Source organism: Homo sapiens, chromosome 9 (assembly GCF_000001405.40).
Source record: "Homo sapiens chromosome 9, GRCh38.p14 Primary Assembly".
Classification (NCBI taxonomy): Eukaryota; Metazoa; Chordata; class Mammalia; order Primates; family Hominidae; genus Homo; species Homo sapiens.
The window spans coordinates 26,573,357-26,597,011 of NC_000009.12; positions in this window are offsets into that span (position 1 = coordinate 26,573,357).

Sequence of the window (23,655 nt, forward strand, 5' to 3'; positions counted from 1 at the left end):
GAAGGTGAGGAGAATTAACACTTACTAAGCAACTGCTACGGAACAGGCATCATACATTTTGCTTAATACCTTAATTAAATCTCACTTTTATAATAGCCCTTTGTGATGGGCATTTCAACCCAACATTCCACAGAGAAGAAAACTGAAGCACTTAAAAGTAAAATAACCTGCCCAATATCATGTACTCAGTGAGTAAGATAGCTAGATCTAAAATCCAACCTTTATTACAGGAAATGGCATTTCCATTAAAGCCTTGAAGTCTCTTCAGCACAGCATTTCCAAGGGCCAAAAGAGAATTCTACAAGATTGTATTTTGAATGAACAAGGAAATCAGTTAAATCAACTTATGTAGTACACATCAGCGTTCAATATCACATGAATTATGAAGGTTGGAATCTTTAAGAACTCTCAAAGGGTAGGCATTCCACATTGTATTTTACGTAAGTAGATATTTTCCCCTGGATTTCTTTAGGTTCTTTTTGATTGAAATGCTTGGCAACATTTTGCTTTATGTTGTTTTAAAGCATTCTGTGCTGACAAGTGGTGAACTCAGAAAATACAGTCCATTTTTCCCAAACCTATGAAAGTAATATTGCGCATTATGGCTTTGATAGTCCCCGTGATTATGACTACAGATTTAAAGTTTATGTTCCGCTGGGATCACCCAAACCAAGACTATTAACTTAAAATACACAACTGAAGATCAAAATGTATCTTCTCAATTGAGAAAACCAACAAAAAGAAATAGTATGTATATTTTTTGAAAATAAAACAATTTTTTAAGTTATTAAGGGAAATCATCAGAATTGTATTGTCTTTTTTTGCATTGAAATAAACTTTGTTATTGTTTAGAACAGAAGGAAAAAAGCAGCTAAAATAATTTATGTTTCAAGTCTAACCATGACAAAATTTTAAACAGAAGTTTGAATATTTAGGTCCCTAATTCCAATATCTTACCCATAATGGGAATAGTTTGAACATTTGAACAAAACAAATGTTATTTGCCTTGTTGAGATAGGTATCTCTAATATGATCAAAAACTGATGTTAAAATTAAATCCCCATCCTGAGGCAATAGCATAGAGACCGAGTCTATCTGGTGCTTTGGTTCATATAAAGGTCATTGTGATAAAATCTCAATGATATGCAATTAAAAAAATTCACATTGTCTACATTGGGTGAGGAAAGTAAAGGCACAACTGTAGTTGTGAAGCTTAACTAAGGTTGGTGAAGGCTATTTCCGCTGAAACAAACAGCTTTTTATATAAAAATACTGTTAATTGTTACTTCAGAGAAGTTGATTAAGGAATGGGGGAGGTAGATAATTTGTTTCTTTTTATATTACATTATTCTGTGCTTAAACTTTAGTGAAAGTGCTGGAACTTTTATCATGGGTATGCATTTCTTTGTTAATGAAAGAAGAAATTACTTAAAAAATTATTTTAAAATAAGAAGCATAGATGACTTCCAAAAAGTCACGTAATTTTCAAAAATTCTTTCCATTACAGAGAGATAATCCAATGCCAGGACACATATGCTCCCTGGGGTAAAATTGAAATATCCATAAAAATGAAATAAGAAGAAGCCATTTTAATGTCTAGAGGAAGAAAATACAGAATATGTGGTCTGTGTGTGGCCTTTGAGTAAGCCAGTGATGCTCAAAGTACCCATTCACAATAAGATCTGGAACCTGTGCTGGAATGTAAATGAACACACTACTTCCTTCTATGAGCAAGTCTTGCTACCAAAATAAATAAACACATACATACATACATACATACATACATACATACATACATCAGATGAACTGAAAAGCATGCTTAATGGCTAAACTAATTTACATCCTGATGCAAACTGGTCGCAAACAGATGGCCGACCAGAGACCACAATATGAGTAGCACTGAAACCTGCATACACCAAAAATAAATGGAAGGAGGAAAGTTTAGACTGTGAGTCAGTCAGGGTTCAAAGTAGGAAACAGAAATCACTGTAGACATTTAAAGTAGAAAAAGATTTAATACTGAAAATTCAGTGTAGACAGAAATGGTAGAAGAAAGAATAATGTGCAACAAGTCCACAAGCTGCCACTTAGCCAATTTGAAGAACTTCCACCATAACTACAATGCAGAGATCAGAAAGTTATGATTGCTGTCACGACCACCACTGCCTTTTAACATTTATGGATCTGGTGACTAGACAGAGGAGCACTGAGCCCGGTCAATTCAATGGCTTTTAAATCTTCATGAACTTGCTTGCCAGCTGAAAATGGCCTCCACCTCTGCCCTCCATATCTGCCCATATTTGTCTTGGTACATCTCTTTAAAGGGTATTCACTGGGATCCACACCTTTGAGTTGAGATCAGTTCTGCTTTGTGTATGTTCATTCTGCAGTCCAGGATGAAGGAGTGGTGGCTATTCATAGAATGCTCTACTCATGGTGATGAAGCGAAACACAAGCACATATAAGGCCCCTGCTCACGTCATATCTACTAACATCTCATTGTCCAAAGCAAGTCACATGGCAAAGCCCATTTTCAATGAGATCTCTGTTCTACCCCCAAAGGAAAACCACTGTAATATTACACAGCAAATGGTATCAATATACTGTCACAGGGAACTGAAGAATTGGGACCAATATCCCAATCTTCAACAACTTTCAGTCTTTTTCAATGCTACAGTTTCATATTCTGTAATGCTATGACAGAGATTCATAACAATGTATGAACTACCTCAATACCCAGTTACCCACTTTCTCTCCTCCATCAACTCCCCAAAAGACCACAGATAACCAATCTCTACAAAACTTATCCATTATTAGCCCCTTCTATCTGAAAGAAAGTGTTGTTACTCTCTCAAACCATGGCCCATTCCCAGGCTGTGTTATAATTTTCCCCAAACTCTCAGAGACTTTAATTCTACTCTATTACCTCTTTTCTCCTAAATCTTCACACTTGCTTCTTTCCCAATCAAACATCTGTAACAAATGCTACAATCAAACATGTGAACTTTGATCTTAAAAATAAATGGTCTCTCACGATATTACATCTCCCCTAGCAAGCCTCTTCTTCCTCATATTCACCTTTCCTAAAAGGGTGTATTTATTACAGCTTCTATTTCCTCTTCTTTCACTTATTCTACAGCACTCTGAAATCTGGCCATAAAAAAACAACAAGAAGTCATATTTGCCAAGTTTACTGCTTATTGTCGAAGGGTTTGGTGAGGCGCTATGAATAGCACACTCATTCCCTGATTTCTGCATCAAAAGAGAAAGAAAAAAAATGAAGCTTTCTCCGTTAGTCTGTTTGCATGGCTATAAAAGAATATCTGAGGCTGGGAACTTTATAAAGGAAAGGGGTTTATTTGGCTCACGGTTCTGCAGGCTGTACAAGAAGCATAGTGCCGGCATCTGCTTCTGCTGAAGTCCTTGGGAATCTTACAATCATGGTGGAAGGTGAAGGGAAGCCAACATGTCACATGATGAGAAAGGAAGCAAGGGAGAGAGAAGGAGGTGCCAGACTCCTTTAAACAACCAGCTTTTATGTGAACTACCAGAGCAGGAACTCAGTCATTACCATGGGGATGGCAACCAAGACAATCATGAGGGATCCACCTCCATGATCCAAACACCTACCACTAGGCCTACCTCCAACACTAGAGCTCACATTTCAACATGAGATTTGTAGAGACAAAACATCCAAAACATATCACCAACACTGAAGAAATGTGGCTTAGATGTGAGAGCCAAATGAGCTTATTAACTCCCTACGCTCTTGGATCCAAGACTGCAAATACACTTAACCCAGGTTTCTGTCTCACTATTGTAAGTAGAAGGGGAAGGAGAAAGAGTGCAACTATCACCCTGTTCCAGTGATCATGTTTGTGACTAGTAAGCTCCAATCAAGAAAAAATAGACCAATAGCAATTACCTAAGACCCAAGAAAGAGATGAGGAAGTAGATGCAGAGCATGTGGGGGCAATAGCCCCTCACAGAAACTAGAAGACTGGAAAAAAGATGCTCCCCTCTAAGAGTTACTGTTTGCATCTCTAATTTACTTGAGCTGTCTGGGATATTTGCACTGTTGACCTTTCATTCCTCTGGAAAATCTTTTTGCCTCAAATTTCAAGAAACTCCCTTCTCTAGGTTTTCCTCCTAATACTCTGATATGCCCTATTTTATCTCCTTTATGGGGTATCCCCGGGGATACCACTTTGTTTTCCCATTCTTTGGTGTCCCTTGGAAATCCCATCCATGCCTATAACTTTCACTATTACTCATGTGTTCATACAACTGGATATTATCTGCCTAATAGGTACTTCACTTCAAGGATGCGCATATGTACCTGACATGCAAAATGTCAAGACATATTTGTCTTCTTTTTCCCAAAGCAATCTTTCTCTTCCATAATCTCTCCTTTGTGGGTGGCACTAGCATTCACCCAGTCTTCCAAGACAGAAATCTTAAGAAACATCTCTAATTCCTCTCTCTCCTTCTCCTACTCTGTCCCTACCACCTCTGTGAGGTCCAGTGAATTTCACTTCCTGAGTATCTTTCAAATTAGTCTCCTCTCTATTTCTACTATCCCTGCCTTGGTTTAAACCCTAAGCATCTGCTCGAACCTAATTTACCACAATAGTTCCTCACTACTACGCCCCCTTAAAATGGACATATTAGTTTTGGGTTTCTGCAAGATTGTTTTTGTTTTGTTTGCCTAACACCAATTATCTCTTCTTTTGCTAAAAGCACCCCAATTTTGCTGAATGAATGCAAGGCACCAATGTATATTTTCTTTTTTAGAAGTTATTTTCAATTGGTGATCTATACATGATGTATATGACAGGTCCTCATTGATTAGAATATGTGGTTAACCAAAACTATTGCTTAATAATGGTGGTAAAGAGAGAAATTACAAGGATTTATTGAGGATCAGGAATTAGAGAACAATAAAAGATTTCAATATAAAAATTAAATTCATCAAACTAGAGGATCAATTACTTTTTGGTTTCTCCTTCCTGATCACTAGCAGTGTTTTAATATCCTTAGGGATCAATTCTGTAGCTTCTATGGATTTTGTTCTAAATGAACATGATTCTTTTGATTAATATTGCTTCTGTAACAATATCTAAGTTAGTAAAGCACACTCCATACGCTTATGCTATACAAATTTGTGCTTTCATCTCTGTAACTCCCCCTGAAAGACGTTTTTATCAAAGTAATAGTTGTCTTAGATGTGTTCAAACCCAACTAAACATAAAGCATTCACTTTTGTCTGTCACACACAGCTTCCTCCACCTTATATACTGGAAGGAAGTCCTTTGGTTTGAAAGCTTTGCCAGTGTTTGAGAAAGTAAATCCCTTTCAAGTTCAGGGTGAATATTTTCAAAAGGATTTTACAAAGAGTTTTAATAACAACACAGTCTCTCTTCCCCACTCTCAGCTCAAACCTGATTTTGAACTTTTTAAATTTAACACCAAGCTTAGATTCTCAGACGGTAAGAGCTGAAAAAGACTTTAGATTCCATCTCAATCCCACCTACACATTTTACAGTCAAGGAGACAGACATCTGTAAAAAGGAAAGCATTTGTTCAAGGTCTTGATAGGTTTAACATAATTGAGATTTATTTCCCTAATGGTCTCAAGATCTTGTACAGCAGAAATTTCAGTAAGCCCCAAAGTGCTGCACCTGTCTTGCTTGATTTCTGGACCTCTGACTTCAACTCAGATGCCACTCATCATTTTCCATAAACTGTTCATTTCTGCCTCCATTTTCCTTAAATCTAAAGAGCCCTCTTCAAGCCTATCTCATCGAGAGGAGCCATAGGGAGGTGGCAGAGGTGGTGGATGGGGGGAATTCCTGCTGGGCCTGAGCAATGAGCCATTGCTTCTGGTGGCTCATTGCTCAGCCTCAGCAGAAATACCCCTTCTAAGATGGTACAGCCCTGGTATAAATAGATATTACCAAAGCCTCTGGCTCAGAGGGCAGCTGGATATCCGAAAAGAAAAATAAGAGGTGGCTATAGCTGCTCAATGTAAGTGTGGGGTGGAGGTGAGGAGGGAGAAGTGGCAGCAAAATTTTATCTTCCCACATGACAAAAATAAAATGATTGGGGTTTTCTCTTTCCTTTTTGCGATTTCCTTCCCTAGTTCCCCAGCTGCACACACACATGCATACACGCACAAAAATAACAACAACAACAACAATTACAACCCCTAATTGTCCTAGCCAGGGGTCATTTTGTAATTTTCCTATTTGTTTACACCTCCATTTTTATTTATTTAAACCGAGGGTGGGGTGGGGGATAAAAAATATAAAAATACAGTGTAGTTCCTTCCAGGTACCTTACTCCACAGTAGATCCTGTATTTCATAACTTCTCTGAAGCTCAGATTTGAATTTTCTTACTCTCCAGGGTTTCTGTTTTCAGTTTGTACCCTAAGGTGTAAAGAATATGCATGGAATAACTGGGATTCCAATAATCTTCTACTAGCAAACAGGATGTTCAAGTGTTCATTTTTCAATTTTTTGCTTGTTTTTTGTTTTTTTAGACAGAGTTTCACTCTAACGCTCATGCTGGAATGCAGGGGCTCAATCTCAGCTCACTACAAGTAATCCTCTCACTTTAGCCTCCTGAGTAGCTGGAACTACAGGCACATGCCACCATGCCTGGCTAGTTTTGTGGGGTGTTGTTGTTGTTTTTGTTATTGTTGTTTGTCAGCCAAGAAGACAAGCAAGGGATAGATTCTGACCCCAAATGAAGAAGAATGACTAAGAATTAGAACTATACTATTATAGCATAAAATGGGATATAACCGAAAGTAATAATATCTTCATTACTAGAAGTACTCATTCAAACAGGAACTGAAGAAACCATTGGTCAAGATTTTGTTAGAAGGAATTCAACATTCACTGAAGAAAGGACAGTCTCTACAATAAATGCTGCTGGGAAAACTGGATATTCATACACAGAAGAATGATACTAGACCACTATATCTCGCCATTTACAAAAATCAAATCAAAATGAATTAAATGCTTAAATTTAAGACCCCAAACTGTGAAACTGCTAGGAGAAAACACAGGAGAAACAGTTTGGGACATTAGTCTGGGCAAAAATTTTATGGATAAGACCTCAAAAGCACCGGCTGCAGAAGCAGGAATAACAAATGAGATTATATCTAAAGTAACAAACTTCTGCACAGCAAAGGAAATAATCAACACAGTGAAGAAACAATCTGCAGAATAGGAGAAAATATGTGCAAACTATACACTGATAGGGCATTAAAATTCAGAATATACAAGGAACTCTAACACCTCAACAGCAAATAAATAAATAAACACACAAATAATCCAATTTAAAAATGGGTAAATGATCTAAATAGAAATTTCTCAAAAGAAGTCATAAAAATGGCCAAGAAGTATATGAAAAAATGCCCAACAACACTAATCACCAGAGAAATTTAAATGAAAACCACAAAGCAATATCATCTCATCGTATTTAGGATGGCTATTACCGAAAAGACAAAAAACAATACTGGTGAGGATGCAGAGAAAGGGGAACTCTTATACACTGCTAGTGAGAATGTAAATTAGTATAGTTATTATGGAAAACAGCATCAAGGTTTCTCAAAAAACTAAACTAAAGCTACCATATGATTCAGCAGTCCAAGTACTGGATATATATCCAAAGGAAAAGAAATCTATGCTAAAAAAAAATGATCTGTACACCCATGTTTATTGCAGCACAATTCACAATAGCCAAGATATGGAATCAACCTAAGTTTACATCAACAGATAAATGAATAAAGGAAATGTGGTATATATACCCAATGGGATACTATTCAGTCATAAAAAAGAATAAAATTCTGTCATTCACAACAACATGGATGGAACTGAAGGACATTATGTTAAGTGAAATAAACCAGGCACAGAAAGATAAACACTGCAGGTTCTCACATGTAGAAGCTAATAAAGTATATCTCATAGACATAGATAATAGAATAGCGATTACTAGAGTCTGGGAAGGGTTGGGGAAGGGGAATATAAGTAGAGGTTGGTTAATAAATACAAAATTGCAGCTAAATAACAGGAGTAAGTTCTAGTGTTCTATAGTTATTTCATATTTTCAAATAGCTGGAAAAGAGAATTTTCAATGTTCTCAAATAAATGATCAATATTTGAGGAGATAGATGTACTAATTACCTTGATTTGATGACTACACATTGTATGCATGTATTTAATCATCACACTGTACCCCATATATTATACAACTATTACATGTCAGTTAAAAATCGTCTTTAAATGATTAAAATAGTAAAAAAAGAAAGCTTTGCTAATCAGGTAATGAATAAAAAGACTTGAGAAATGGAAGGAGCTAAGGATAAGTTAGCTGGTTTCAAGCATCTAGCAAAGAGTTGGGCGAGATGACTTTTAAGTTGTTTTCTGAGGTTGTTACTCTTCATTCTTGGTAAGTCTTAGGTATGCTTGGGTAAAATAATGTCTGGGATTGGATCTTAGGTTGTATGGGTCTCCCAGCTCAAGAACACACAGGTCAAGTCCTGCCTCACCAGTAAAGTCAAGTTCTTCCCTGATATCTGAATTGTTTCATTTCTGTTGGTGGAGGAGGTACACAAAGGTTTTACTCTCAGCCTTCCAATACCTACAGATCCCAATTATAGATATACAGTGAGTGCAGTTACATCATTAATTGGAAAGTGGATTGTGAACTGGAATAAAGAAAATTCACACCAAACCTTATGGAAGCTAGTAACATGGATTTGAAGGTGATACTAGTTCTACAAATAAAAACGTCAAGGCAATAAGTCCTTGCTTTAGTCAATATTTATCTTTCAGGTTAATCAGTCTGGAAGTTAAACAAAAATATGAATTAATTATTCTGGCTATCTTCTCTATATACATAATCACTTAAGCAAAGCAAGTTAGATTGGTGTCTGACTACATAAAAATGGACTATTGGGATGTTCTTTATGCAAAGGAGCATTCTAAAGGCAAAATGGTATAAAAAGCTTGTAAAAAGTCATTATTCTCTTTCTGAGAATTAAGTGCAATTGTAGTCAAGGCAAACAATTGTCATTGAACTCAGCAGCAATCAATGGAGAGAACCTATTTGTATATGTGAATTGGCTAGTTAACACTATTTCAAAGTGTCATTGATTCTAGACAATGTGAATGATAGCAAGGCTCACTTCTGTTTCACTTTCCATCAGAAATCAATTGTTTTGGTGTTGTCATCATCATTGTTGTTTTTGTTGTTATGGGTAGAAGTTCCATTTACTTGAAAAGTGTCCCTCATATGAACAGCTTTCTCTTTCACAGAGGGAACCAGGCAGACAAAATTTGCTCAGAATCAAGTGACAGAAAAAAAAAACCCATGATCCCAGAGGATAGGTCACTTAATGCAACAAAGACAAAAAATATCAATGTGGGGCAGGAACCAGAATATGCATTTGTGAGCAGCAGTGTACAAAGGATGGGAATGTTTTACCACTGACGTTGCTTAGAATTGCTGGTTCATGGTTGTAATACAAAGCAGACCAACTTTTAGTCACTTTTTAAAATGTTTTTTAATTTCATAAAGACAACACATTCTCTCATTCCTGCACTAGGCTACCCCACCATCTGTTTGTGAGTATTCCCTAGCCTTTCTTCCTCACAGCCTCTCATCGACACAAATTCTTTCAGAAAAATATTCTATGTATGCCAGCTGGACCTGAGAGCATCTAATTTTTCTAAACAAGTAATAAATTAATAGATTTGAGAAATGGAAGAAGCCAAGGATAAGTTAGGAATTTTTTCATTGAAAGAGAGGTATTTAGAGGAATGGGAAAGAAGAATAGATTCAAAATGTTGCAATGAATAAGGCTACCCTTGTTCCACTCCCACTATCCCCATAATTACCACAATGGACTTAGGGTGCATAGAGGATTCAAGAATCAAGAACCCCTTGAAGAAGACCTGATCTTTAGGAGGGCTAGGTATTGGAAGTGAGAAAGGTTTAGGGGTAACAGTCCAGAAGCCACTTAGCTTAAACAAGACTAGGGAGATCAGAAAAGAAAGACAGGATACATATGAGTGACCTGGCCTTTTCTTATCCATGAAATTGAATTCATTATTTCTGGCACAAAATAATAAAGGCCAAAAAACGATATGTGTCACCTTTAACCTGGGAAGTAAATTATGGTTTAAAACTCTTAAAGCACAGGAATCCTCTCAACTGCTCTGAGAGGCATTTCTACCACTACTCCAAATAGAGAAAACCAGGCAGAGGCTTCATTAACTTAACTGAGGTCACAGAGCAAGTGCAGAATGAAGCAGAAAATAATACATAGGCTTCATGAATCCCATTTCACTACCCCCTTCACCAAGCCTCCTCTCCCTTTTATTGTCTTCTTTAAATCAATTCCCAAGGACAACCAAATCTAGTCCGTGTATAGTAAAATGTCACATGTCTCCATGGTTTAACTCTTCTAGAAACAGCATGATGTTATAAATAGCCCTCAAGCTAGTACAAGAATCCATGGGTTTGCTCTCTATTGTCCATGGAATGGGGACACATGAAAGTCAAGGTACCAATGAAATACTGGACATGACTTTTCTATTCCTAATCCCTTTTTCTTTCCTTCTCTCTCTTCTTGTCAGACTTCTCCAGACAACTTATCCATGGATTTTCTTTTTTTGTTTTTAGAAAACTGATGAAAATCTATTAATACTATGGTTGGGTTTGAGTCAATGCTTACTTTGGATGTGTGGGTACTATATAAAGTTGTGTTATGAAAATACATGGCTGTGTGTGTATTGAAATATAAACATGTGTGTTTACTCATACATACATACAGATACACACCCACACTTTCCTTTTGCTATTTATTTTGGCCTTTATAACTAGAAAGTTATCTTCTCTATGTTCTGTCCTAGGTATTCCTCATCCCTGCCTAAGTCAGTTTTGAATGGTTATGCAAACAACTGAGGGAAACTTCAGGGTGTCAGGACTCTGACTGAAATTAAACATCTTTTCCAGTTTTATTGAAGCATCATGGACAAATAAAAATTATATTTATTTAAGATACAAAATGTGATTATTTGATATACATATATTATAAAATGATTACTAAAATCAAGCTAATAAACATATCCATCACCTTACACAGATACTCTTTTTTGTGGTGAGAACTCTGAAGATCAACTCTCTCAGCAAATTTCAAGTATGCATTATCACTAACTATATTCAGCAAGGTAGGCATTTGATATCCAGAACTTACTCATCTTGTAACTGAAAGTTTATGCTCTTTGACTAACATCTCCCTCTTTACCCTATCCCCCAAACCCTGGTAACCACCATTCTATGCTGTTTCTATAAGTTAGACATTTTTAGATTCCACATAGAAATAAGATTATGCAGTATTTGTCTTTTGTGTCTGGCTTATTTCACAGAATAATATCTTCCAGGTTCATTCATGTTGTCATAAATGGCAGAATTTTATGATTTTTATGGCTAAATGGCTGAATAATATACCCTTGTGTGTGTATATATGTATGTGTATATATGCGTGTGTATGTGTGGGTGCACATTTTCTGTATTCATCTATCAACAGGCAGACAGTTTTCATATCTTGGCTATTGTAATAATGTTGTGATGATCATGGGGGTGTAGATAATCTCTTTAAGAGAGTGATTTAATTTCCTTTGGATATATACTCAAAAGTGAAATTGTTGAATTATGTGGTAGTTCTATTTTTCCTTTTTTGAGGAATTTTCATGTTATGTTCCTCATAATTGCTGTACCAATTAACATTCCCACAAACAGAGTACAAGGGTTCCCTTTTCTCCACATCCTCATCAACACTTATTATCTTTTGACTTTTTGATAGTAGACTTCCTAATAAGCATGAGGGGATATCACACTGTGGTTTTGATTTACATTTCCCTGATGCTTAGTGATGTTGATCACTTTTCTGTATACCTGTTGACCATCTGTAAGTATTCTATCAGAAAAACTGTCTATTCAGGTCTTCTGATCATTTTTAATTTAGTTGTTTTGCTATTGAATTGTATGAGTTCCTTACATATTTTGCATATTAACCCCTAATCAGATATATGATTTGCAAATTTTTTTACCATTCTGTGGGTTGCATGTTTGTTGATTTCCCTTTTTTCTGCAGAAACTTTTAATTTTATGTAGTTTCACTTATTTTTGCTTTTCTAACCTGTGCTTTCAGCATCATATCCAAAATCATTGCCAAGACCAATTAATGTCAAGAAGATTTACCACTGTGTTTTATTCTAGAAGTTTTGCTGTTTCACGTCTTATATTTAAGTGTTTAGTAAATTTGAGTTGATCTTTGTATACGGTGTGAGATGAGGGTCTAATTTTATTCTTCTGCAGGTGGATATTCAGTCTATCCAGAACCATGTATTGAAAGACTATCCTTTTCTCATTGTTATTTTTGGCACCATTGTCAAAGATTAGTTGACTATGCATGTGACAGTTTATTTCTGGGTTCTCTATTATGTTGCAATAGTCTATGTGTCTGTTTTTAATGCCAGTACCATACTGTTTTGATTACTACAGATTTGTAATATAATTTGAAATCAGGAAGTGCGATGCCTCCAGTTTTGTTCTTTTTGCTCAAGATTGCTTTGACTATTCAGAGTCTTTTGTGGGTCCATACAAAGTTCAGGTTTTTTATTCTGTGAAAATACCATGGGAATTTTGATAGGGATTACACTGAATCTATACATTGCTTTGAGTCAGATGAACATTTTAACAATATTAATTCTTCTAATCTGTGAACACAGGCTATCTTTTCCTTTATATATGTCTTCTCCATCAGTATTTTATAGTTTTCAGTGTACAGATCTTTCACCTCTTTGGTTAAGTTTACTCCAAAGTATTTTGTTCTTTTTGATAGCTTTGTAAAAGGGATTGTTCTCTTAATTTAAGTTTCAGGCAATTTATTCTCAATATATGGAAACAAAACTGATTTTTGTATGTTGATTTTGTTTCCTTCAATACAATATTAACTTTAAATGTAAATGGACTAAATTCTCCAATTAAAAGACACAGACTGGCAAGTTGGATAAAGAGTCAAGACCCATCAGGGTGCTGTATTCAGGAAACCCATCTCACGTGCAGAGACACACATAGGCTCAAAATAAAAGGATGGAGGAAGATCTACCAAGCAAATGGAAAACAAAAAAAGGCAGGGGTTGCAATACTAGTCTCTGATAAAACAGACTTTAAACCAACAAAGATCAAAAGAGACAAAGAAGGCCATTACATAATGTTAAAGGGATCAATTCAACAAGAGGAGCTAACTATCCTAAATATATATGCACCCAATACAGGAGCACCCAGATTCATAAAGCAAGTCCTGAGTGACCTACAAAGAGACTTAGATTCCCACACATTAATAATGGGAGACTTTAACACCCCACTGTCAACATTAGACAGATCAACGAGACAGAAAGTCAACAAGGATACCCAGGAATTGAACTCAGCTCTGCACCAAGTGGACCTAATAGACATCTACAGAACTCTCCACCCCAAATCAACAGAATATACATTTTTTTCAGCACCACACCACACCTATTCCAAAATTGACCACATAGTTGGAAGTTAGGCTCTCCTCAGCAAATATAAAAGAACAGAAATTATAACAAACTATCTCTCAGACCACAGTGCAATCAAACTAGAACTCAGGATTAAGAATCTCACTCAAAGCCGCTCAACTACATGGAAACTGAACAACCTGCTCCTGAATGACTACTGGGTACATAATGAAATGAAGGCAGAAATAAAGATGTTCTTTGAAACCAACGAGAACAAAGACACAACATACCAGAATCTCTGGGACGCATTCAAAGCAGTGTGTAGAGGGAAATTTATAGCACTAAATGCCCACAAGAGAAAGCAGGAAAGATCCAAAATTGACACCCTAACATCACAATTAAAAGAACTAGAAAAGCAAGAGCAAACACATTCAAAAGCTACCAGAAGGCAAGAAATAACTAAAATCAGAGCAGAACTGAAGGAAATAGAGACATAAAAAACCCTTCAAAAAATCAATGAATCCAGGAGCTGGTTTTTTGAAAGGATCAACAAAATTGATAGACCGCTAGCAAGACTAATAAAGAAAAAGAGAGAGAAGAATCAAATAGACACAATAAAAAATGATAAAGGGGATATCACCACCGATCCCACAGAAATACAAACTACCATCAGAGAATAGTACAAACACCTCTACGCAAATAAACTAGAAAATCTAGAAGAAATGGATAAATTCCTCGACACATACACTCTCCCAAGACTAAACCAGGAAGAAGTTGAATCTCTGAATAGACCAATAACAGGAGCTGAAATTGTGGCAATAATCAACAGCTTACCAACCAAAAAGAGTCCAGGACCAGATGGATTCACAGCCGAATTCTACCAGAGGTACAAGGAGGAACTGGTACCATTCCTTCTGAAACGATTCCAATCAATAGAAAAAGAGGGAATCCTCCCTAACTCATTTTATGAGGCCAGCATCATTCTGATACCAAAGCCGGGCAGAGAAACAACCAAAAAAGAGAATTTTAGACCAATATCCTTGATGAACATTGATGCAAAAATCCTCAATAAAATACTGGCCAACTGAATCCAGCAGCACATCAAAAAGCTTATCCACCATGATCAAGTGGGCTTCATCCCTGGGATGCAAGGCTGGTTCAATATACGCAAATCAATAAATGTAATCCAGCATATAAACAGAACCAAAGACAAAAACCACATGATTATCTCAATAGATGCGGAAAAAGCCTTTGACAAAATTCAACAACCCTTCATGCTAAAAACTCTCAATAAATTAGGTATTGATGGGATGTATTTCAAAATAATAAGAGCTATGTATGACAAACCCACAGCCAATATCATACTGAATGGGCAAAAACTGGAAGCATTCCCTTTGAAAACTGGCACAAGACAGGGATGCCCTCTCTCACCGCTCCTATTCAACATAGTGTTGGAAGTTCTGGCCAGGGCAATCAGGCAGGAGAAGGAAATAAAGGGTATTCAATTAGGAAAAGAGGAAGTCAAATTGTCCCTGTTTGCAGACGACATGATTGTTTATCTAGAAAACCCCATCATCTCAGCCCACAATAAAATCACTTATTAGTTCTAACAGTTTTTGGAATCCTTAGGGTTTTTAACATATAAGACCATGTCATCTGCAAACAAAGACAATTTAACTTTTTTTTTTTATTTCTCCTTAAAAAAAAAAAAGGGATACATATGCAGAATGTTCAGGCTTGTTACATAGATATATGTGTACCAGGGTGGTTTGCTGCACCTATTGACCCATCCTCTAAGTTCCCTCTCCTCACCCCCGTCTCCCAACAGGCTGTGGGTTTGTGTTGTTCCCCTCTCTGTGTCCATGTGTTCTCAATGTTCAACTCTCACTCATGAGTGAGAACATGCAGTGTTTGGTTTTCTTTTCCTGTGTTAGTTTGCTGAGGATGATGGCTTCCAGCTTCATCCATGTCCCTGCAAAGGACATGATCTCATTCCTTTTTATGGCTACATACTATTCCATAGTGTATATGTACCACATTTTCTTTATCCAGTCTATCAGACAATTTAACTTTTTCCTTTCTGATTTGCATAACTTTTATTTCTCTCTCTTGCCTATTTTGTCTGCCTAGGACTTCCAGTACCATGTTGAACAGAAGTAGTAAGATTGGTCATCCTTGTCTTGCTCCTAATATTTGAGAAAAAGCTTTTAGCTTTTCACCATGGAGTATGATGTTAGCTGTGGACTTATCATATATGGCCTTTATTATGTTGAGGTATATTCCTTCTATACCTAATTTGCTGATAATTTTTGTCATGAAAGGATGTTGGACTTTGTCAAATGCTTTTTTTACATCTATTGTAATGATCATATGATATTTACCCTTCATTCTGTTAATGTGATATATCATGTTTATTGATTTGCCTATATTGAACCATCCTTGCATCTCAGAGATAAATCCCACTTCATCATGGTGTATAATCTTTTTTTTCCTGTTTGAGATGGGTTCTCACTCTGTCACCCAGGCCAGATTGCAGTGGCATAATCACTGCACACTGCAGCCTTAACCTCTTAGTCTTAAGCAGTCCTCCCACCTCAGCCTCCAAGTAGCTGGGGCCACAGACACCTGACACCACACTTAGCTAATTTTTTTTCTTTTGTAGAGATGGTGTACTAGTCCATTTTCATGCTGCTGAGAAAGACATACTCAAGAGTGGGTAATTTATAAGGAAAAAGAGGTTTAATATATTCACAGTTCCATGTAGCTGAGAGCCCTCACAATCATGGTGGAAAATGAAAGGCACATCTCACATGGTGGCAGACAAGAGAAGAGAACTTGTGCAGGGAAACTCCCCTTTATAAAACCATCAGATCTCATGAAACTTATTCACTGTCACAAGAACAGCATGGGAAAAACCCATCCCCATGATTCAATTACCCATCAGGTCCCTCCCACAACAATTGGGAATAGTGGGAGCTACAATTCAAGATGATACTTGGGTAGGGACACAGCCAAATGATATCATTCCACCCCTTGCCCCTCCCAAGTTTTATGTCCTCACATTTCAAAACGAATCATGCCTTCTCAACAGTCCCCTAAAGTCTTAACTCATTTCAGCATTAACTCAAAAGTCCACAGTCCAAAGTCTCATCTGAAACAAGGCAAGTCCCTTCCACCTATGAGCCTGTAAAGTCAAATGCAAGTTAGTTACTTCCTAGATACAATGGGAGTACAGGCATTAAATAAATACACCCATTTGAAATGGGAGGAACTGGCCAAAATGAAGGGACTAAAGGACCCATGCCAGTTCAAAATCCAGCAGGGCAGTCAAGTCTTAAAGCTCCAAAATGACCTCATTTGACTCCACTTCTCACATCCAAGGCACACTGATGTAAGGAGTGGGTTCCCATAGTCTTAGGCAGCTCTGCCCCTATGGCTTTGCAGGATACAGGCTCCCTCCCAGGCACATGGTGCAAGCTGCCAGTGTGGAGGACAGTGGCCCTCTTCTCATAGCTCTACTAGGCAAAGCTCCAGTGTTGACTCTTTGTGGAGTCAACCTGCCCCACCTGCCCCTTCAGCACTGCCCCAACAGAGGTTCTCCATGAGCACCCCACCCCTGCAGCAAACTTCTGCCTGGACATCCAGGCATTTCCATACATCCTCTGAAATCTAGACAGACGTTCTCAAATCTCAGTTCTTGACTTCTGTGATCCACCCAAGCTCAACACCATCTGGAAGCTGCCAAGGCTTGGGGCTTGCACTCTCTGAAACCATGGCCTGAGCTGTACCTTGGCCCCTTTTAGTCATGGCTGGAGCAGCTGGGATGGAGGGCACCCAGTCCTTAGACTGCACACAGCAGAGGAACCCTGGGGCCAGCCCACGAAACCATTTTTTCCTCTTAGGCCTTCAGGCCTGTGATGGGATGGGCCACCTCAAAGCTCTCTGACATGCCCTGGAGACATTTTCCCCATTGTACTGGTGACTAACATTCAGCTACTCATTACTTATGCAAATTTATGTGGCCAGCTTGAATTTCTCCTTAGAAAATGGGATTTTCATTTCTATCGCCCTGTAAGGCTGCAAATTTTTCAAAATTTTATGCTTTGCTTTCCTTATAAAACTGAATGATGCCTTTAACAGCACCCAAGTCACCTCTTGAATGTTTTGCTGCTTAGAAATTTTTTCTGCCAGATACTCTAAATCATCTCTCTCAAGCTCAAAGTTCTTCAAATCTCTAGGCCAGGGGCAAAATGTCACCAGTCTTTTTGCTAAAACATAACGAGTCACCTTTGCTCCAGTTTCCAGCAAGTTCCTCATCTCCATCTGAGATCACCTCAGCCTGGATTTCATTGTTCATATCATTATCAGCATTTTGGCCAAAGCCATTCAACAAGTCTCCAGGGAGTTCCAAACTGTCCCACATTTTCCATCTTCTTCTGAGCCCTCCTGTGTTAGTTCATTTTCATGTTGCCGATAAAGACATACCCAAGACTGGGTAATTTACAGAAGAAAGAGGTTTAATTAGACTTAAATTTCCACATGGCTGGTGAGGCCTCACAATCATGGCAGAAGGCAAGGAGGAGCAAGTCACATCATATGTGGATGGTGGCAGGCAAAGACAGAGAGCTTGTGCAGGAAAACTCCACCTTACAATAACCATCAGATACATGAGATGTATTCACTACCATGAGAACAGCACAGAAAACACCTGCCCTCGTGGAGGGACAGACCCGATTCTCCCACTGGGTCCCTCCCACAACACATGCGAATTCAAGATGAGATTTGACTGGGGAAACAGCCAAACCTTATCACCTCCAAATTGTTCCAATCTCTGCCTGTTACCCAGTTCCAAAGAGGCTTCTACATTTTTGGGTATCTTTACAGCAGCGCCCCACTCTACTGTTACCAATTGACTGTATTCATCCATTTTTGCACTGCTGATAAAGACATACTTGAGACCAGCTAATTTATAAGAAAAAAAGAGGTTTAATGGGCTCAAAGTTCCACATAGCTGGGGAGGCCTCACAATCATGGCAGAAGGTAAAATGCATGTCTCACATGGCAGCAGACAAGAAAAGAGACCTTGTGCAGGGAAACTCCCCATTACAAAACCATCAAATCTCATGAGACTTATTCACTATCATGAGAACAGCATGGAAAGACCACCCCCATGATTCAATTACCTTCCATCAGATCCCTCCCATAACACATGAGAATTGTTGGAGCTACAATTCAAGATGAGATTTGGGTTGGGACACAGCCAAACCATATCAGATGGGGTCTCACTATGTTGCCCAGGCTGGTCTCAAAAGCCTGGCTCAAATGATCCTCACACTAATTCCATAAGTGCTGGGATTACAGGCATGAGCCACCATGCCCAGCCGTATAATCCTTTTAATGTGCTGTTGAATTCAATTTGCTGGTACTGCATTGAGAATTTTTGCATCTATGCTTATTAGAGATATTGGACTCTAATTTCCTTTCTTTGTACCACGCTTGTCTGGCCCCTTAAAATTGGACCTCATAAAATGAATTTGGAACTGTTCCCTTCTTTTTGGTTTCTTGGAAAAGATTAATTCTTCCTTAAATGTTTGGTGGAATTCAGCAGTGAAGCCATCTGGTTCTGGACTTTCCTTTGTTGGGAGATTTTTGAGTAGTAATTCAATCTCCTTACTCATTATTGTTCTGTTCTGCTTTCCTATTTATTCATGATTCAATCTTAGTAGGTTCTATGCATCAAGTCTATCTGTTTATTCTAGGTCATCCAATTTGTTGGCATATCATTTTTTATAGTAGTCTCTTAGGATCATTTGTATTTCTGTGGTATCAATTATTAAGTCTTCTATTACAAATATTTTATTTCTGATTTTATTTCAGTCTTCTCTCTTTTTTTTCTTAGATAAGCTAAACACTTGTCAATTTCATTTACCTTTTCAAAAATTCAACTCTTGGGTTTTTTTATCTTTTCTATTGTTGTTGTAGTCTGTTTGATTTATTCCTTCTTTAATCCCTTTTTCTGACAACTTTGGGCTTAATTTGATATTGTTTTTCAGTTTCTTGAGGTACAAAGTCTGATTATTTAAGATCATTCATTTTTCCTAATGTAGTCATTTATTATTATAATCTTTTCTCTTAGATTTGTTATATTTATATTTATATTTGTTTCAATGTATTTGTTATTCCTCTTTTTGAACCTTCTTTAAGCCATTGGTTGTTCAGGAGTGTGTTGTTTAATTTCTATATATTTGTAATTTTTTTTTTCCAGATGGAATCTCACTCTATTGCCCAGGTTGGAGTGTAGTGGCGCAATCTTGGCTCACTGCAACCTCCACTTCCCAGGTTCAAGTGTTTCTCATGCCTCAGCCTCCTGAGTAGCTGGGATTACAGGCGCATGCCACCACACCTGGATAATTTTTGTAATTTTAGTAGATACAGGGTTTTGCCACATTGGCCAGGCTGGTCTTGAACCCTTGACCTCATGTGATCCACCTGCCTTGGCCTCCCAAAGTGTTGGGATTACAGGCATGAGCCACTGTACCCAGTCTATTTGTTAATTTTTTAGTGTTTTTCTTGTTGATTTTTAATTGCATAATGTTGTAGTCATAAGAATACTTGACATGTCAATCTTATTAAATTTGTTAAGACTTGTTTTGTGATCAAGACATGATCTCTTCTGAAGAATGTTCCACATGCACTTGAGAAGAATGTGTATTCTGCTACTCTTGGGTGGAATGTTTTATATATGTCTGTTAGTTTCATTTGGACTAAAGTGTAGTTCATATCCAATGTTTCCTTATTGATTTTCTGTTTTGATACCTGTCCATTTTTGAAAGTGGGATGTTGAGGTCCCCTACTAATATTGTATTTCAGTCTTATCTCTCTCTTCAGATCTATTAATATTTGCTTTATATATTTAGGTTCTATGATGGGTGCATATATATTTACAATTGTTATCTCTGTCAGTAAAGTATTCTTCATTGTGAATGTTTTTCTTTCAGCATTTTGAATATATTATCCCACTGTCTCATGGCTTGCAAGGTTTATTCTGAGAAATCCACTGATAGTCTGATGAAGATTCCCTTGAAGATGGCAAGTCTCTTCTCCTGTGGCTTTCAAAATTCTGCTTCTGATTTTTGGCAACTTAATTATAATGTATCTCGGTGGAGTCCTCTTTGGGTTGAACTGATTTGGAAGCCTTTAAGCCTCATGTATGTGGATGTCCATCTCTCCCACAGTTGGGGAAGTTTTAGGCCGTTATTTCTTTTCTTTTTTTTCTTTTCTTTTCTTTTCTTTTTTTTTTTTTTTTTTGAGACAGAGTTTTGTTCTTGTTGCCCAGGCTTGAGTGCAGTGGTGTGATCTCGGCTCACTGCAACCTCCACCTCCCAATTCGAATCAAGCGATTCTCCTGCCTCAGCCTCCTGAAGTAGCTGGGATTATAGGCACCTGCCGCCACACCCAGCTAAATTTTTTTTTTTTTTTGTATTTTTAGTTGAGACAGGGTTTCACCATGTTGGCCAGGCTGGTCTTGAACCCCTGACCTCAGGTGATCCTCCTGCCTCGGCCTCCCAAAATGCTGGGATTACAGGTGTGAGCCACTGCGCCTGGACCATTATTTCTTGTTTTTGTTGTTGTTGTTGTTGTTACTGTTTTGATACAGAGTCTCGCTCTGTTGCCCAGGCTGGAGTGCAGTGGCGCGATCTAGGCTCACTGCAACCTCCACCTCCCGGGTTCATGCCATTCTCCTGCCTCAGGCTCCCGAGTAGCTGGGACTACAGGTGGCCGCCACCACACCTGGCTAATTTTTTGTATTTTTAGTAGAGACGGGGTTTCACCACGTTAGCCAGGATGGTCTCAATCTCCTGACCTGCCTCAGCCTCCCCCACTATTTCTTTAAATAAGCTTTCTTCTCTATTTTCTCCTTCTGTGATCATGATTTAAATATTATTTCTCTTGACAGTGTTCCATAAGTTCCATCAGCTTTTTTAACTTCTTTTCATCCTTTTTTTTTTCTCCTCTGACTCCACAGTTTCAAATGATGTTACAGAATTTTTTATTTCGTGGATTCTTTTTTCTGCCTGATCAAGTCTGCTGTTGATGCTCTATTGCACTTTCTATTATATTCACTGTATTCATTAGCTCTACAATTTTTCATTTTTTAATGATTTTTGATTTTTGTATGATTTGTATCTCTTTGTTGAACTTCTCATTCTTTTCATGAATTGTTTTTCTGTTTTCATTGAGTGGTATATCTGTGTTCTCTTTTAGCTTGCTGAGCTTTCTTAAAACAATTATTTTGAATTTTTTGTCAGGTTATTCATATACCTCCATTACTTTGGGAGTCGCTTATTGGAAAATTACTGTGTTCCTCTGGTGTTATCATGTTTCCTTGATTGTTTTATTTATTTTTTCTTGTTCCTTTCAGCCTTGCATTGCTGTCTTCACATCTGAAGAAACAATAACCTCCCCCAGTATGTAGTGGCTGGCTTTGGGAAAGAAACATCTTCACCAGTCAGCCCAGCTAGTGATTCTGAGGCTGTCTCAGTACTTTTCTTTGGATGTGCGCACTCTACTCCTCTAGTTTCCTCTTGGAGGTTTGCGGGGAGTCTAAGATTATATGCCTTTTTTCATCTTGCAAAGGCCAGGCTGGGTTTTAACAGCCTCCACTTTCCTGAATCAAGTTGACTGACTGGAAATGATTGTAAACCATCTACAAAGACTCACATTTGCTATATGGCAGGGGCATGTGCAGTGAGTCAGCCACAGGGGAGGGAGAGAGGAGCTGTGCAGAGTATTAGGAGCACCTGCAGGACAGTAAGGGAAGATGGTGTACAGGCAAGTCATCCCAAGTGGTTAATAGAAGGCCTCCTAATAAAGTTCAAGAAGCAGTTAGTAGGCTACCCAGCGCTTTAATTTTGAGCCCTGGTTGCTGTGAGTTCCCACCTCTCTTCTCTGTTCCCAGCCTTTCCAGCCACTCAGCCATGCTGATCCACTCAGTATTCCGGGTGGAGCAAGAAAAAAGTGGGCCTCTTGGGCAGCATTCTGTACATCTGGTGAACCTAGGCATTCATTCACTACATTCTCACTTTCCTCCATGGGAGAAATAATGGACTAAGGAGGTCTCTCTCGGCACCAAGCTGTGCTGCCTTGGGGAAGAGATGATGCAGATAAAGTATTTCTTACCCTTTTCAATGCACCTATTCTCAGAAAATTTGCTCCAACAGTGTCCTAGAACTTCTCTGCTAGACTTCCAGACTGCCACAAAGGGACTCTCTGTGGGTGATTGTCAATGTCAGTGCACTATAGGGAAACGAGGGTAGAAAACTCCTCTTCTGCCATCTTGCTGATGTCACTGCAGAGTTGTTGGATTTCTTGTTATCTCCAGCCTCACATTCAAACTACCATACTACATAGTCTGGGACTTGTGAGTAGAAATGTTTCTCTCAAGTATTCACTGACTTGCCTTTCCAACGTCTTTGGTTGTGCCTCAGTTCTTTAATGTTACCATTATTGAAAGGGGCTGTTCAAGGGAACCAATGTGTTAGGCAGGCATATTCTTCTTGCTTAGCCATAAATAATGGCCTCATCATAGTCTCTATTATCTGTTTTCTGTGTTAGTTGTTTGTTTTTTTTTTTTTTTTTTTTCCTGAAACGGAGTCTCGCTCTGTCACCCAGGCTGGAGTGCAGTGGCACGATCTCGGCTCACTGCAAGCTCCACCTCCCAGGTTCACGCCATTCTCCTGCCTCAGGCTCCCGAGTAGCTGGGACTACAGGTGGCCGCCACCACACCTGGCTAATTTTTTGTATTTTTAGTAGAGACGGGGTTTCACCATGTTAGCCAGGATGGTCTCAATCTCCTGACCTCGTGATCTGCTCGCCTCGGCCTCCCAAAGTTCTGGAATTACAGACATGAGCCACCACGCCCAGCCCCTCTGTGTTTAAGGAAAAAAAAATGCTTTTCTTCTTCTCTCCCTGCCCTTCATCCCCTCTCATTATATCTCTTTGCACTAGCCATGGAGCCATTACATATCTAAAAAGTGTTTTCTGACAAAGAGAAGAAATAATTTTAAATTCCCAATGCTACATAGGAGGAATGT